Here is a 15,180-nt window from a genome sequence, read left to right as displayed (position 1 = left end):
GCGGTGGTTTAAAGAGTTCCGGCCATCCCCGTCAACACTCAACACACACTGCCAACACTCCAAAGAGATGTCACAAAGAGACGTTGCTAACGGGCAGTTTCATCTGCTGGGTTTCGTGGTGGAAGTCACTTTTACTTGCTTTCCTGTAACTAACCTTCCAGGGAGGACAGAGGCCTGGAATCTGCAGTCGCATAAGGCTCCCAGGAGGAAACTATTCAGAATTAAGCCTTTTGGCATCTAAGTTGACATAGTTGACACATATTTAACAGACGGCCTGCTTTGGGCAGGTCATATTTTTGGCAAGCAGTATTTTTTTTCAGTTTCTCTCAATTTAATTGGTTTTATATCTCCATTACCTTGTTATCTCGGTATAAATGCCTCCTAATCAAATATTTGGCAAGTCCTTTTGGTCTCTGTCTGTAGCACTATTTCCATTCTGGATTGCTTCTATGTAAAAGCTGTCAGCTAGATATTTCTTTTGAGGTGAGGTTTCCAAAATCCGTTTTACTTACGATCAGAATAAATCTAAATTTTGGGGGTAGAAAACTATTTGCAGGGTAAAAGAGAATTATCTGGGTGTCTAAGAAGAAACAATCCAGCCTTTCCCTCTGTTGTTGGTTTAATATTAGGCTTGTGAAGGAAGGCTGTAATTGTCTTTGGTTTCTAGGAAAGAAGGGACTGTGGCAAAAAGTTTAACTCTGCCCTTGCATTGAAATATATAAACTGATTCTTTTTATTGGTATCTGTCATTTGATGAGAGGAAACCTATTTTATAAGCTTATTAAACTATACTTCAGTTTTGTGTCTAGGCTTGGTAGAAAATTCCTTTTTATTTTCAGAGGCTTGCAATGAAATCCATTCCTTCAGCATTTTTGATGTGCAGTTCTTCATTGTTCAAAACTGACACTTTGGTAAACAACTCATTTCTGCACCTGCCACCTTCCTTTAGCTTAGATTATTTTCTTGTTAGCTGACTGTTTTTAATTGAAGTCTTCAGATCTCCTTCTAAAGCAGAACCTTTGTTTGCTGACAAGTAGAGCGGGGTATGAATGGAGATTAATTGCATGTCGCATACTTCTGTATCAAGCTTGCTGTATCTTAACAATCTCTGTTGGTGCTCAGGTCTTTAAAATATATGGAGGAGTCTGAAACCAAATTATAAGGAGCTTCGTTGGTTAATGTATTTCTTTAAGGCTTTTTTTTTTAAGTTTGCAATTAGAACTTGAATCTGAAGTAGAGAAAAAAATGTAAAGTGTGATTCATCCAGTAATTCTATTGAAAAATGTTTGAAGATATGTTTTTTAAAGGTTCCTGTAATAATAATAGCAATATATTGGTTACAAGTTTTATTTCTTTTGGAACACAGTCGCTGGTGTAGACCAGGAGGATTATTCATTGTGTTACAAATAATCTGTCCATATTAGAAACCCAAAATGGCCATCAATTTGTTGTTTGTTGCTATTTGTCTCCCCCACCACACACTTTTTAAGGTTAACTGTTGACAATTAGAAAAAATGGAGGTCCTGATCTCTATATAGTCACTCTGTGGGAGGGAGTCACAGGATGTGAGGGCTGCAACTCTAGTGCTGCCACATGGCTGTGGGGGTGGGGTTTCCACAATGAATTACTACTTTCATAAACCAAGGCATAAGCATTTGCACAGTGATTTAACACTGGACATCACAGCCATAACTTAAGCATTTATTTATTTATAACTACACAAGCATAAATGACAGGGGCATTTTTTGACATAATGTGTGTGCTTTTAAGAATAAAATATGTAAAGCATTGTGAAAGGTAGATAACAAAATTTTGCATAATGAAGAGAACAGAAATTCCCAAGGCCTAAAATTAATTTTGTTTAAATATAAAATTTGAGACACTTGGAAATGTTTCACTCGACCTAGAAACCTCACTTCTAAAAATCTGTCACTGAAGTGAAAGGTCATGAAGTAGTATATGCACGAAGATCTATGCTAAATGTTAATAAGTTGGGAGACTCAGGGTGATGGTTGAATGAATTATGGGACATTTGTCTCATGGAATACTTCACAGCCACTAAAAGAGTATTCTGTGGATCTATATATAGGCTTGGAAAGTGTCCATGGCATATTTTTAAGACTAAAAGGCAAAATGCATGATAGTACATGTAATATCCCATTTTTGCTTGAAAACCAAAAGACAAAACAAGAAAAGCCACATATGTTATAAATATTTGTGTAAGCCTAGGAATAAGTAAAAAAGAATATATACCAGACTGTTAACATTGGCTTCCTTGAGAGAAGACTGAGAGTTTGGAGGAGGGGAGGTTATTAATTTTTATTTCATACATCTTTGTGTTGTTTGAATTGTGACAATGACCATGCATTACTTCTGTAAACAGGAAAAAATAAACAGTAAGGGTATTTAAAAGAAAAAGGAACAAAAGACAAATAGAAACTCAGAGAGGTCAGAGTGCTAACGGACCATTTACTATGCTTGTGATCATGTTTTTCTCTTTTTAGCCCTGAGGGGTATGGAAGGTGGAGAAATTAAAAAAAAAAAACACGCTATCTTGGATTTTTGGCAAATATCAAAACAGTGTGAGGTTTCTAGAGTAACTCAGGAAATAGCTTCTTTAGATAGACTCTGTCAAGCTCTCATATAGAAATAGTAACTAGTCCCCTATCAACAAATAAATACCTCATAGATAAGTAAAATGGAGGGTGCTTTCTGCTTTATTGAAAGAGGAGGAAATATTCAGGTCTGTTTTCAAATAATGGGGCTTCAGATGTAGAAGTTATCTTTTTGTTTTTGTTCTGTGATAACCACACCGAAAACAAAAACAATGAAGTGCTGGCAGTTTGCATAATCTTTGCTCCACAGATATAAACATAATCAGTCTCTTCTTCCTGGTCTTTCTAGCCCTGCTTTTGAAGTCAGAAGCAAAAGAGACAAGTATGAAGGAGGTGGAATAGATATTTCTTTGGTTCGTAGTTTGTCCTGTGTGATGGAATGGGGCCTACTGACATTACCCTGGTAGCTGATAGGTCCCAACTGCCTACATGGTACTAAATCCTGCCCAGAATATGGATTTAAGCCAAAATAACATTAACAACCTGGCTGCATGTAGTAGCAATTGCTGTGTTAATGCTGATTCTGATATGCCTATAGTTATTTATTTTTAAACTTCCTTGTAAAGAAGCAGTCATTAATCATTTCCTTCCAGATTGTTCTCCAGATCTGTATTAGTCAATGCAGTCAATCATAAAATCCGTTTCAGTATAGTAAAATTCCAACTGTGGGGAACTTGCAGAAATGAGTTGCTCTGGATAGCTGAGGAGATTCTCTTTAAGCACTCTTTTCTTCTTCTTATAAATATTTGTGATCAGGTTTTTCCTAAAATGCATTAGGAATTTTTCTTCTTTAGCCAACCAGTCTACGGCTATCTTCAAATGAACCTCTTTAGAGCACTCTTTAACTCAAAGTTGTTATAGTGAATATCTATTACCATACTTTATGGTAATATATTGTTTAGGATGTTTGGCCATAGTTGCCCCTGAACTGCTTTGTAAGTGTCTGTGTCTGCTTTATATTTTTATTTTCATTATTTTTTTCTTGCTGTTAGGCCAAGGCCTATCACTTTGCACCCTTGTCTGTGTGTCTACATTCCCAGTGCTTCTGGTACATCAGATAACCACGTTAGTTGGAATTGAGATATATGTAAAAGAAGTTACAAAGAGCTTTCTTGATGAACAAAGTACCCACACCTTTAAGTGTGGGCTTTGTAAGATGTATTTTGGCTGCTCAGAATCTTTTTTGCTTAATTTTTGAAACTGGATTGTCTTGCAGATCAGTGAGGCTACTGCTCAGTTGAATTCTGAAAAGTGAGATATAACTATAGTTCTATTCCTTTTTTATGTTAAAATTTTCTGATTATAAAAGTAATAATGCTAATTATAGAAAATTTAGAAAACACACAATAGGATACAGTTACTCAGAATCAATAATTGTTAAATTTCCATGTATTTTTCTCAGTGTTCATTATATGGATATACTTTAAAAGTTGGGACATATTTGTGCACAGGTTTGTCTATTGATTTTTCTACTTATAATTTTTCACTTGTTATTGTCTCCTGAGGGTTTTCGTTTCTTTTTGAGATGGAGTCTCACTCTGTTGCCCAGGCTGGAGTGCAGTGGCACAATCTTGGCTCACCACAACCCCCGCCTCCCAGGTTCGAGCAATTCTTCTGCCTCAGCCTCCTGAGTAGCTGGGAATACTGGCGCACGCCACCATGACAGGCTAATTTTTATATTTTTAGTAGAGACAGGGTTTCACTATGTTGGCCAGGCTGGTCTCGAACTCCTGACCTCATGATCTGCCTGCCTCAGCCTCCCAAAGTGCTGGGATTACAGGCATGAGTCACCCCGCCTGGCCTTACTGAGGGTTTTCATTTTCTTTTTCTTTTTCTTTTTTTTTTTTTTGAGACAGAGTCTCACTCTGTCTCCAGTTTGGAGTACAGTGGAGTGATCTCAGCTCACTGCAACCTCCGCATCCCAGGTTCCAGTGATTCTCCTGCCTCAGCCTTCTGAGTAGCTGGGACTACAGGCCCACGCCACCACACCCAGCTAATTTTGTATTTTTAATAGACACGGGGTTTCAGCATGTTGGCCAGAATGGTCTTGATCTCTTGACCTCGTGATCCGCCTGCCTCGGCCTCCCAAAGTGCTGGCATTACAGGCATGAGCCACCGTGCCTGGCCTTTCCTGAGGGTTTTCTTAGATCACGGCTATGCTCTGGATGTTTGTGATTTGCCAAAATTTTTATGTTGAAATCTAATTACAAATGTGATGGGAGGTGATTAATGCCCTTATAAAAGAGGTCCCAGAGGGCCGGGCGCGGTGGCTCACGCCTGTAATCCCAGCACTTTGGGAGGCTGAGGTGGGCGGATCACAAGGTCAGGAGATTGAGACCATCCTGGCTAACACGGTGAAACCCCGTCTGTACTAAAAATACAAAAAATTAGCTGGGCGTGGTGGCGGGCGCCTGTAGTCCCAGCTACTCGGGAGGCTGAGGCAGGAGAATGGTGTGAACCCGGGAGGGAGAGCTTGCAGTGAGCTGAGATCGCGCCACTGCACTCCAGCCTGGGTGACAGAGCGAGACTCCGTTCTCAAAAAAAAAAAAAAAAAAAAAGAGGTCCCAGAAAACTGCCTTACTCCTTCCACTATGTGAGGACACAGTTAAAAGGTGCTATCTATGAACCAAAAAGCAGGCCCTCAGCAGAGACTGAATCTGCCGTTGATCTGGACTTTCCAGTTTCCCACTTGAGAAATAAATTTATGTTGTTTATAAGCTACCTAGTTTGTAGTATTTTGTTATAGCAGCTCAAATGGAATAAGACAATCGTTAAGTGAGTTTTTTTTTGCCTTCAAGTTATATACCCTATTTTTATTCCACAAATAGTTTTACCCTAATGTCTTAAAATAAAAATCGGGCCAGGCGTGGTGGCTCATGCCTATAATCCCAACCCTTTGAGAGGCGGAGGTGGGAGGATCACTTGAGCCCAGAAGGTTGAGGCTGCAGTGAGGTGAGATTGCACCACTGCACCCCAGCCTGGGTAATGTAGTGAGATCCTGTCTCAGAAAACAAACAAACAAGAATGTTTTCCCTGCTTAACTTGTTCATTTCTTACTTTTGGTACCATGAATTTTTCATCCTTGAACGCTATTTTATCTCTTAGATATTAACACTGTGCTGTTGACCATAATAGTCACTAGCCACATGTGGCTATTTCAATTTAAATTATTAATTAAATTAAATACAAAAAAAAAGTTGGTTCCTCAGTTGTGCTAGCGACATTTCAGCTGCTTAGTAGCCACAGTGGCTACTGTACTGGACAGTGTGTAAAGTCCTGGTAGTTGATGATCTAGAATATAATGCTGAGTGAATTTCTCAGGAAGGGTACTTTGATAATAGGCTTACTAAGCCTCTGTATGTCTGAGAATGTGTCTCCCTTATTTCATATAAACTTAGCTGTGGGCATGAAGTTCTGGGGTCACACTTTTCCCCTTCCTTCAACCTCCCCTCAACTAAGCCTCTAAAAATTGTGCCATTATTTTTTGGCCTTCAGTTTTGTGAAGGAGAAGTGTGATGCCAGCCTGGTATATTTCATTTATAATCCACTCCTCTCAGCTGGGGTAGTATAGAATATTTTTCTTTGCTCTCAAAAATGTCACTAGTTAGTATCAAGGTCTTACTTAGACTTTTTAATACTTTTTGTTGTTGTTGTTCAATAGCATGCCAGGAAGGCCTTTTAATAATTTTGCCTGGTATGTAGTGAACCTGCTTGATCTATGGACTCTGGTCTCCCTTTGAGTTGGGAAAGTTTTCTTCTATTATGCTTCTGCTCCATCTGTTTTATTCTGTCATACTTGGGTTTATAGCATACATATATTGGACTCCTGATATGCTCTCTCTGTTTCATCTTTTTTACTGTCTCATCTGTCATTGCTTTCATTATGGTTTTAAATTCAACATTTATTTATTTTTTAAAAAGTTGCCATGTATTCTTTCCTCATCATTCATTGTCTCATTTTCATTACGTCTATAAAGTGCTGATTTGTACATTTAATGACTTTTTGGATGTTGCCGAGAATTAGAAATTTTCTAAACATTTCTGTTCTTTAATAATAAATCTGCTTCAGAAGGAGGCATTGTCTTTAGTTCTTCAGGTGATCTTTTCTTTTTGAACATTAATGTTTTCTCATAGGTCCTGTATATTTTCTCTGTGTGCAATTTGCCTAGATTCAAATTCTAACTCTTCCACTTTCTTACTACCATTTACTCACTAAATGGACCATGGGTCTCAGTTTCTTGATCTGTAATATTGAGATAATAATGGTACCTATCTGTAGTATTGAGATAATAGTGGTACCTATCTTACAGAATTTATATGAAGAATAAAGGAATGAATATTTGAAAAGAATTTAGAACAGTATCTGGTATGTACTAAACACCATATAAATGTCTGATAAATAAAATTAAATTTTTTTTCACTTGAGTTATCCAGCTGACCTCTTTTGTTTGTTTGTTTTGGCAGCTGCCTTTCCACAGTAAAACTCCCAGTCATGGTCTTTTGCTTATATTGGTGGCCCATCCCTGTTTTTATCCTTCTTCTCCATTATGGGAGGCTTTTTGTTTGTTTTGAGATGGAGTCTCACTCTGTCACCAGGCTGGAGTGCAGTGGTGCAATCTTGGCTTACTGCAACCTCTGCCTCCTGGGTTCGAGCGATTCTCCTGCCTCACCCTCCCGAGTAGCTGGGACTACAGGTGCACACCACCAAGCCCAGCTAATTTTTGTATTTTCAGTAGAGATGGGGTTTCACCTTGTTGGCCAGGATGGTCTCGATCTCTTGGCCTCGTGATCTGCCCGCCTCAGCCTCCCAAAGTGCTGAGATTACAGGTGTGAGCCACCGCTCCCAGCCCGACTTTTAGGGATTCTTTCAAAATCTCCATTTCTTTCCTTCAGAGTCTAGTGATCATTTTGATGAGAAACTTTATGGAGGAAGGAGAGAAAATTAGCTTCATTGCTTTTGTTGTCACCTAGCCTGCAGTTCTCTGAGTTTTCTATATTCTTATAGATTCCCAGGCATATAATTTTTCTACCCTGATGTTTCAGTTGAAATTTTGTTTTGTCACAAAAGGATTCTCTGAGATGGCACTTGAAGCTTTACCTAGTCTGTTTGTGTATGACTGAGCATATCAGGAAAGATAAGTGTTCCTTGCCTTGTTATAGAATACCCTGTTTTGTGGCTGGGCATGGTGGCTTACACCTGTAATCCCAGCACTTCGGGAGGCCAAGGTGGGTAGATCACCTGAAGTTAGGAGTTCGAGACCAGCCTGGCCAAGATGGTGAAACCCCGTCTCTACTAAAAATACAAAAAATTATCCAGGTATGGTGGCAGGCGCCTGTAATCCCAGCTACTCAGGAGGCTGAGGCGGGAGAATCACTTGAACCTGGGAGGCAGAGGTTGCAGTGAGCCTCCCGCCTCGTGCCGTTGCACTCCAGCCTGGGTGACAGAGCAAAATTCGTCTTTAAAAAAAAAAAAAAAAAAAAAAGAACACTCTATTTTGTGTGTGTAAAACTAGTATTTTGCATTAATTCCCAGTTTTTAAAAAAAGGTCTATTCTCCTCCCTTTTGTTTGCTAAAATTTAAAAAAACGTGGTAGAGATATTTGAACTTCATTCTGATTATCGTCTAGTGTTAGATGGACTGCCTAGGTCTTTTGAACTCTAGGTAAGAGCTGCTCCCCATGGAAGTTCACAGCTCTCCTCAGGATCAGGGTGATTCTCAAAGAGCATGCCTTGTCAAGGTCAGCTTTCCCTCCAGGCTTCCCTGCTGCTATGCATGCTGTCTGTCCTGGGTTGTGTAGGCCCAAACCAGTGGTTGCCAACAGGGGTGATTTTGACCCTGGGGGCTTTTGGCAACATCTGGAGACGTTTTGGTTGTTACAGCTCGGGAGGGTGCTCCTGGCATCTAGTGGGTAGAAGCTAAGGATGCTGCTAAACTTCCTACAATGCACAGGACACTCCCTCCACAGTAAAGAATCATCCAGCCCGAATTGTCAATAGTGCTGAGGTTGAGAAGCCCTGGCCTAGACATGTTTTCCTTCTCAATTTCCACAAAAGCCTATTCACATGAAGTCCCTATGAGTATAGAAAACATCCCTGGAGAATCAGGGGGTGCCAGGATGGGGAGGAAGGGTTTACATTACAGTCATGCAAATGATTTGAGCATTAGGCATTCCTATTCCTAAATACCCTTCTGCCACCCCAGTTATCAGGGTATATCCTCTATTCTTTCACTTGATTTAGTTCCCAGCCTTATGCCTTCTCATTGTCACTTTCTTTCTTTATCCTATCTAAAGTAAAAAATACATATATTTTTTTCCCTGCCACATGAAAAGGCAGTTTAACTATCTGTATAGTTGTTTAGGTTCCCACCAATAGTGACACACAGCAAAACAAGTTATTTTCCCAAACAATGACAGTTCTTTCCCTAAGAGGAACTGTAGTACCAGTTATTAAGATAATATTTTTACCTAATTTCATAAGTATAATACTTAAACAGTTTTTAATCATTTTAAATATAGGAAAAATAAGGTAAGTATCAAGTTTTACCACCATCTGAGAATCTTAACATATTGACCTAACTATCATAGATCTAATTTTTTCATGTTATAAGCCATTACACCCTACAGAAATCCTATAATTTCTGCTACATTTATTCATATTTGTTTCCCCTGTGTTTCCGAGTTCATTGCTTGCTTTCCAGTTTGTCAGTGCTGCATTATAGGTTAGGTGATTATAACAGATGGATTTTCAGGTTTGGAGTCTTTGAGTTCCACTGCTTAATTTTAGTATCCAGCATTTACATGGAAGATAGGACAGATCTGAGCTCAGGAATAGAGTGGTCTTACCATCCAGATAGCAAGTCTTCCTCAAGGCTGCTGACTCTAATAAAATCATTTGTGAATTATTTGAATTCTCATTTAGGGTCTCCTCCTAACATTGTTGACATTCTAATATGAGTATGTTATGGGAAAATAAAATTTTTATTCAAATAATAGACGCTTTACTAAAATATATCCAATGGCACATATTTGTGCTTAGTTAAACCAATATTGTAGTAGCTGGAATTAATTAAGGTACTATATATTATAAATCTAGTATGAGAAGTAGGCTGGGGTGCATAGGTAGCTACAGAAAACATCTATTCACTGCATTTTAGTAAACCTTCTTAAACTACACTCCTTTAAAAATAACTTTTCTGGCCGGGCATGGTGGCTCACGCCTGTAATCCCAGCACTTTGGGAGGCTGAGGCGGGTGGATCACCTGAGGTCAGGAGTTCGAGACCAGCCTGACCAACATGGTGAAACCTCGTCTCTAGTAAAAACAAAAATTAGCTGGGTGTGGTGGCGCATGCCTGTAATCCCAGCTACTCTGGAGGCTGAGGCATGATAATTGCTTGAACCCGGGAGTTGGAGGTTGCAGTGAGCCAAGATAGCACCACTGCACTCCAGCCTGGGGTGGCAGAGCAAGACACTGTTTTGGAAAAAAAAAAAAGCCCCAAATTCTTTTCTTTCTCATAACTTTTTGTATGAGCCCTTTTATCCATTCATCCATCTATTAGGTTGATGCAAAAATTGAGGTTTTTGCCATTACTTTTAAATGGCAAAATCTGCAATTACTTTTGCAACAGCCTAATGTTTCTTTCTCCCTCTCTCCCTCCCTCTCTCTTCTTTTCTTCCTCTCTTCCTCCCTCCCTTCCATCCATTTTTCTCCCTTTCTTCTTAGCACTTTAGGTATGACTTACATACCATTTATCTTAAGTGTTAAAATTGGTTGACTTAAGCATATATAGACACCTATGTGACCACTCCCCAGATCAAGATACCTTATCAATATACACCCACACCACCTTCCATCCCCCTAGAAAGTTTCCTTTCCAGTCAGTATTCCCTCCCAGAGCTAATAACTGTTCTGACTTCTATCATAATGCAATCAGTATGTACTTTTTTGTATCTGTTGTCCACACTGTATTTTTGAAATGTATCCATGTTATTGTGTGTATTGGTTTGTTCCTTTTTGCTAAATAGTATTCCATTGTGTGAATATTCCACAATTTGTTTATCCATTCTTATGCTGATAAACAATGAATTGTTTTCAGTTTTTGGCTATCATGAATACAGCTGCTATGAGCATTCTTGTATAACTTGTTTTGTGAACATAAGCACTCATTTATCTTGGATAAATATATCTAGGAGTGGAATTACTAGGTCATAGGGTAGTTGTATGTTAAACTCCAAATACTTTTCTTAAGTGATTATACCCATTTTCCACTTCCACAAGCAGTATATGGGAGTTCCTGTTGCTCCATATCCTTACCAACATTTGGTATTGCAGTCTTTTTATTTTTAGACATTCTGGTTGATGTCATGGCCCATGCATTTTTTAAATTATGAAAATAATTGATAGATATATTTTTATTGTAAAATATTTGCACAACATAGAAGTATATAGAATATTTGGTGGGGTGGTTGTTTGTTTCTTGGGGTTTTTTAGAGACAAGTTCTCATTCTGTTGTCCAGGCTGGAGCGCAGTGGCACGATTACGGCTCACTGCAGCCTTAATCTTCCAGGCTCAAGTGACTCTCCCACCTCAGCCTCCTGAATAGTTGGGACAACAGGTGCATGCCACCATGCCCAGCTAATTATTTTTATTTTTAGTAGAGACGAGAGTCTTGCTGTATTGTCCAGTCTGGTCTTAAACTGCTGAGCTCAAGCAATCCTTTCTCTCCCCAAATGCTGGGATTACGGGTGTGAGGCACTGCACCCACCCTGGTTTGTTTTTATTGTTGTTGTTGTTTTTTTTTACCATAGCAGTGTTGGAGACTTTTTCATGCAAATCAATCTATCCATCTATCTATGTGTATATATATTTAAACTGCTACATAGTATTTAACAATTTATTTAGCAATTGTCCTATTGATGGATGTTTAAGGTGTTTCCAAATATTTTATATATCCACACTGCTGTAGAAAACATCTTTATCTGTGTATCTTAGTGTACATATGCAGAATTTTCTTTTTCTTTTTTTTTTTTTTTTTGAGACGAAGTCTCGCTCTGTCACTCAGGCTGTAGTGAAATGGCACAATCTCAGCTCACTGCAACCTCTGCCTCCTGGGTTCAAGTGATTCTCACACCTCCACCTCCTGAGTAGCTGGGATTACAGGCATGTGCCACCACGCCCAGCTAATTTTTGTATTTTTAGTAGAGACAGGGTTTCATCATGTTGCCCAGGCTGGTCTTGAACTCCTGACCTCAGGTAATCCTCCTGCCTCGGCTTCCCAAAGTGCTGGGATTACAGGCGTTAGCCACTGCACCTGGCCATATGCAGATGTTTCTATAGAATATATTCTTAAACTCTCAAATAAAGATTGCAAAAGTGTTAATCCTGGATTTCTAGGCTAGCTGCTAGTTAAAACTTGATCTAAAGTACTCTCATTGTTTTAGTTTCTGGTTTTTGTTTTCTCTGTGTTGTGAGTATATAGGTATTTTCATTTTTCCTCTACAGGAGGTAGAAGGAAAATTAAAAATACAAACACTGCACATTTCTTAGGTCATGGGGCAAACACAGTTAGCAGGTCGAACCTAGCCACAACCAGAACATGCCCACGACTTTTCTATTGTAATGCTGACAACTTCCTGCAAACCAAAACAAAGCTGGTAGGTATAAGGTTTGATTTTAGCCTGCCAACACGTTTTCCTTCTTGGCAAAAGGTAAAAAGTATATGCCTTAATGATGACATTTTTCAGATCAAAAGTTTTAGGTAAGTTTAAAACATGTTCTAGACAAACTGAAAGTCATTTTTCCCCACTATGGTACTTTTATGTAATTGATGTGAAAATAGTGAAGGTTTCCATGAAGGTTTCAATTAATAGGACAGGAAAATTAAACACTAAAGTCTTAGAGGTTTGATTTTAGTGATATATTTAAGAGTGACTGCAGAAATCCTAATGGTCTGATAACTTCAGTGTACCTGTGACAGGGAATTGGGAATTATTATTTTTGTTTCTACCAGAAGCTGTCAATGAGACTTTATACAAGTGGGATTACCAACTAGGTTGCTTTCTTCCATAAAATAGCAATATGTAACTTAACGAGATACTTGTGACATTTAATTAAATGTATAGAATACTCAGATACCCTAGAATGAAATATGGTTTTCTACTGTTTCCAAGGTGGAGATTGTTTTGGTGTGGCAGGCATGGTTGGCTAGACATGACAAGGTGGTTAGGCATAGCCCATTATTTTTGGAAAGATTGTCTTACTGTTAGTAGTTCACTCATGGAAGTCCTGGGGATAACACAAACAGATTTTTAGTCCCTGCCCACCACCACCAGTACAAGGAGAGCCCTGGGATGGACCCCTGGGAGTCCCTCCTTTGCTTGTTCTCCTTTCCTCTTCTCCTCCACAAACCCAACAAACCTTTTCTATCCCTCTACCCTTTTCCACCCAGGGTCCCATCTCCAACTGGGAGGGGTGATGTCTGGTCTTTTAGGTTTTAACTGCTTCAAAGTATTCAGAGTGAAGTGTCTGCAAGATAAAGGAAACATTTTCCTTATAACTAGAAAAAAAAATACAGGTATCATTGAAAATTTAAGAGAAGATGAGGCTGAAATAGCATCCTGCTCCTACAATTTTTTAAAAGTCAATACATAGATTATTTTCCAATGTTCACTTAGATATTTTCTTATAGAAGCAATGTTTTTATGGGAAAAAGGACCGTGTTTTTAGGCTGATTTGCAGGCCAACCTATTTTTTAAAAACTACTTTTCAAGTATTATACCTAGAGAAGAGGACTATAGACAATATTTTGATGGGGGCTCACCTTCCAACTTGGGCTTCTGAAAACTCCTTCTCTGCTGAATATCTCCCCCTTCTACTTGCTTCCTCTTGTTAGTTGGGGGAGTGCACTCTTTATCCCCCTCCTCTCCAACTCCAAGCTCTCTGATGCTGGTACTTGTGACTGGGGAATGACTCCATTGAGCAGGGCTGGGCAGGAGTGAGGAGCTGATGGGAGCCAGGTTCGGGTTCTGAGGATTAGGGAAGAGACCATCTAAGGGGACAGAATGAGGGCAGGAATGGGGCCCCACGTAGGGAGGAGGTGAGAACCAGTGGAAGGGCCGAAAGGGAAGGGAGAACAGAATTTCTTCTTATGTCTCTCCCTTCTTTCCCTCTCCTGCACTCCCACCTCCAACTCTATCTTTCTGTTGAGAGTGTGACTGCCAACCAACAGGCTTAGAGGGCTATGAAAAGAGGAGAGGGGTTAGGGGATGGGACGAGGGATGATGGCAGAAGTATGCAGGGGGCTGATGAAGTAAAACGAGAATAAAATCACCAACAAAGAGAGAGAATGGACATTTCTGTAATTATGCCCAGTGAGGACAAGCATTCACATGTGAAGAGTATTTGCCAGTACTTGAGACTTTTTTTTATTTTTTAATTTTTTTTTGCCAAAGGGTGGTGCTAACCCTTTTCCCCATAGACAAAAACCTCAAGTATTTTCTTGAGTGTAATGCTAGAATAGGCAGAAATTTATGCCATTTTTCTTTTTGGAAATGTGAGTTCTGCTTTAGTAGTTCAAATACTTTTACGAAATTTCCCCTCTAGGAACACTTTGATTGGTATTTGGTCGGTGGAGTTGTTTTCAACAGCATTTGGCCATTCATCCTGCCTCCAAATAAAAGGTTGATTGAAGTGAACTTTTGAGTTTTAGAAACATATATCAACAAAAACCCTTGCAACTGTTAGGGAACACAGACAAATATTTTTTGCTTTTAGTGTACTAGGAGCATTACTTAGAAAACAGGAGGCAACCTTAATCTTTTAGTAGTTTGAAAAATATGACCCATAAGATGTCATTCTCCTCTAAATAAACAGAAGAGCAGCTTTGTGAATGTACAAGATGAGAGAATTTGGGAGAATGTAAGAAACTTTCACCAGTCTACAAAACCTAGTGCTCTTGGGTGCATCTTGCCAACTCAGAATCTTTTCAGCTGGCCTTCAAATTCTACAGCAGTTTTTCGCTGGGGTGTGATAATCATATCATGCCTCTAGTGTTGCAAATACCCTCTTTTCCCTTGTCCTTCAGTCATCTTTTCCTGTTTGCTTTTCCTACCCTGACTTGCTGACATAGATACCTATAAGCTACCTGGAAGCTGAGAGAATTTTCGTTTTAGGGCAGCTATGAATTATAACAGAAAGATGCATTTTTGTCAGAGCTGTGTTTAAGTTTTAAATATGCGACTTCAAATGATTTTGTATTACTTTTAGTATAAAATACTGTATATTGCTACAAGCTTGCCCTCCATATTAATCTTTCACCACCCTTCTCCTGACCTCTGTGTTCTGCCCTCCAATTTGAAATTTTTTGTCTCTCCAACTAAACTGTGATCTCTCACCTCTGGACCTCTGCATATGATGTTCCCATGCCTGGGCCATTCTTTTCCTCATCTCACCAACTTCCCACCTTTCCCCCAGTACACATTCTTGGCCTGCTAATTTTGGGGGTTTCAGGTGAAAGATGAGTTCTCTGAGAGGCCTTCCGTGATTTACCTTCCCCTCGAGACTAGG

At 39.3% G+C, this 15,180-nt stretch overlaps 1 protein-coding gene across 9 annotated transcripts in view; it reads left to right on the top strand.

The window, feature by feature from the left end:
- SKAP1 (src kinase associated phosphoprotein 1) overlaps window positions 1–15,180 on the top strand; it is a 311,620-nt gene that overhangs the window by 15,667 nt on the left and 280,773 nt on the right. The gene's annotated exons all lie outside the window — the stretch shown is intronic.

Source organism: Homo sapiens, chromosome 17 (genome assembly GCF_000001405.40).
Source record: "Homo sapiens chromosome 17, GRCh38.p14 Primary Assembly".
In the NCBI taxonomy this organism is placed as follows: Eukaryota; Metazoa; Chordata; class Mammalia; order Primates; family Hominidae; genus Homo; species Homo sapiens.
This window is presented reverse-complemented; position numbering and strand designations above follow the sequence as displayed.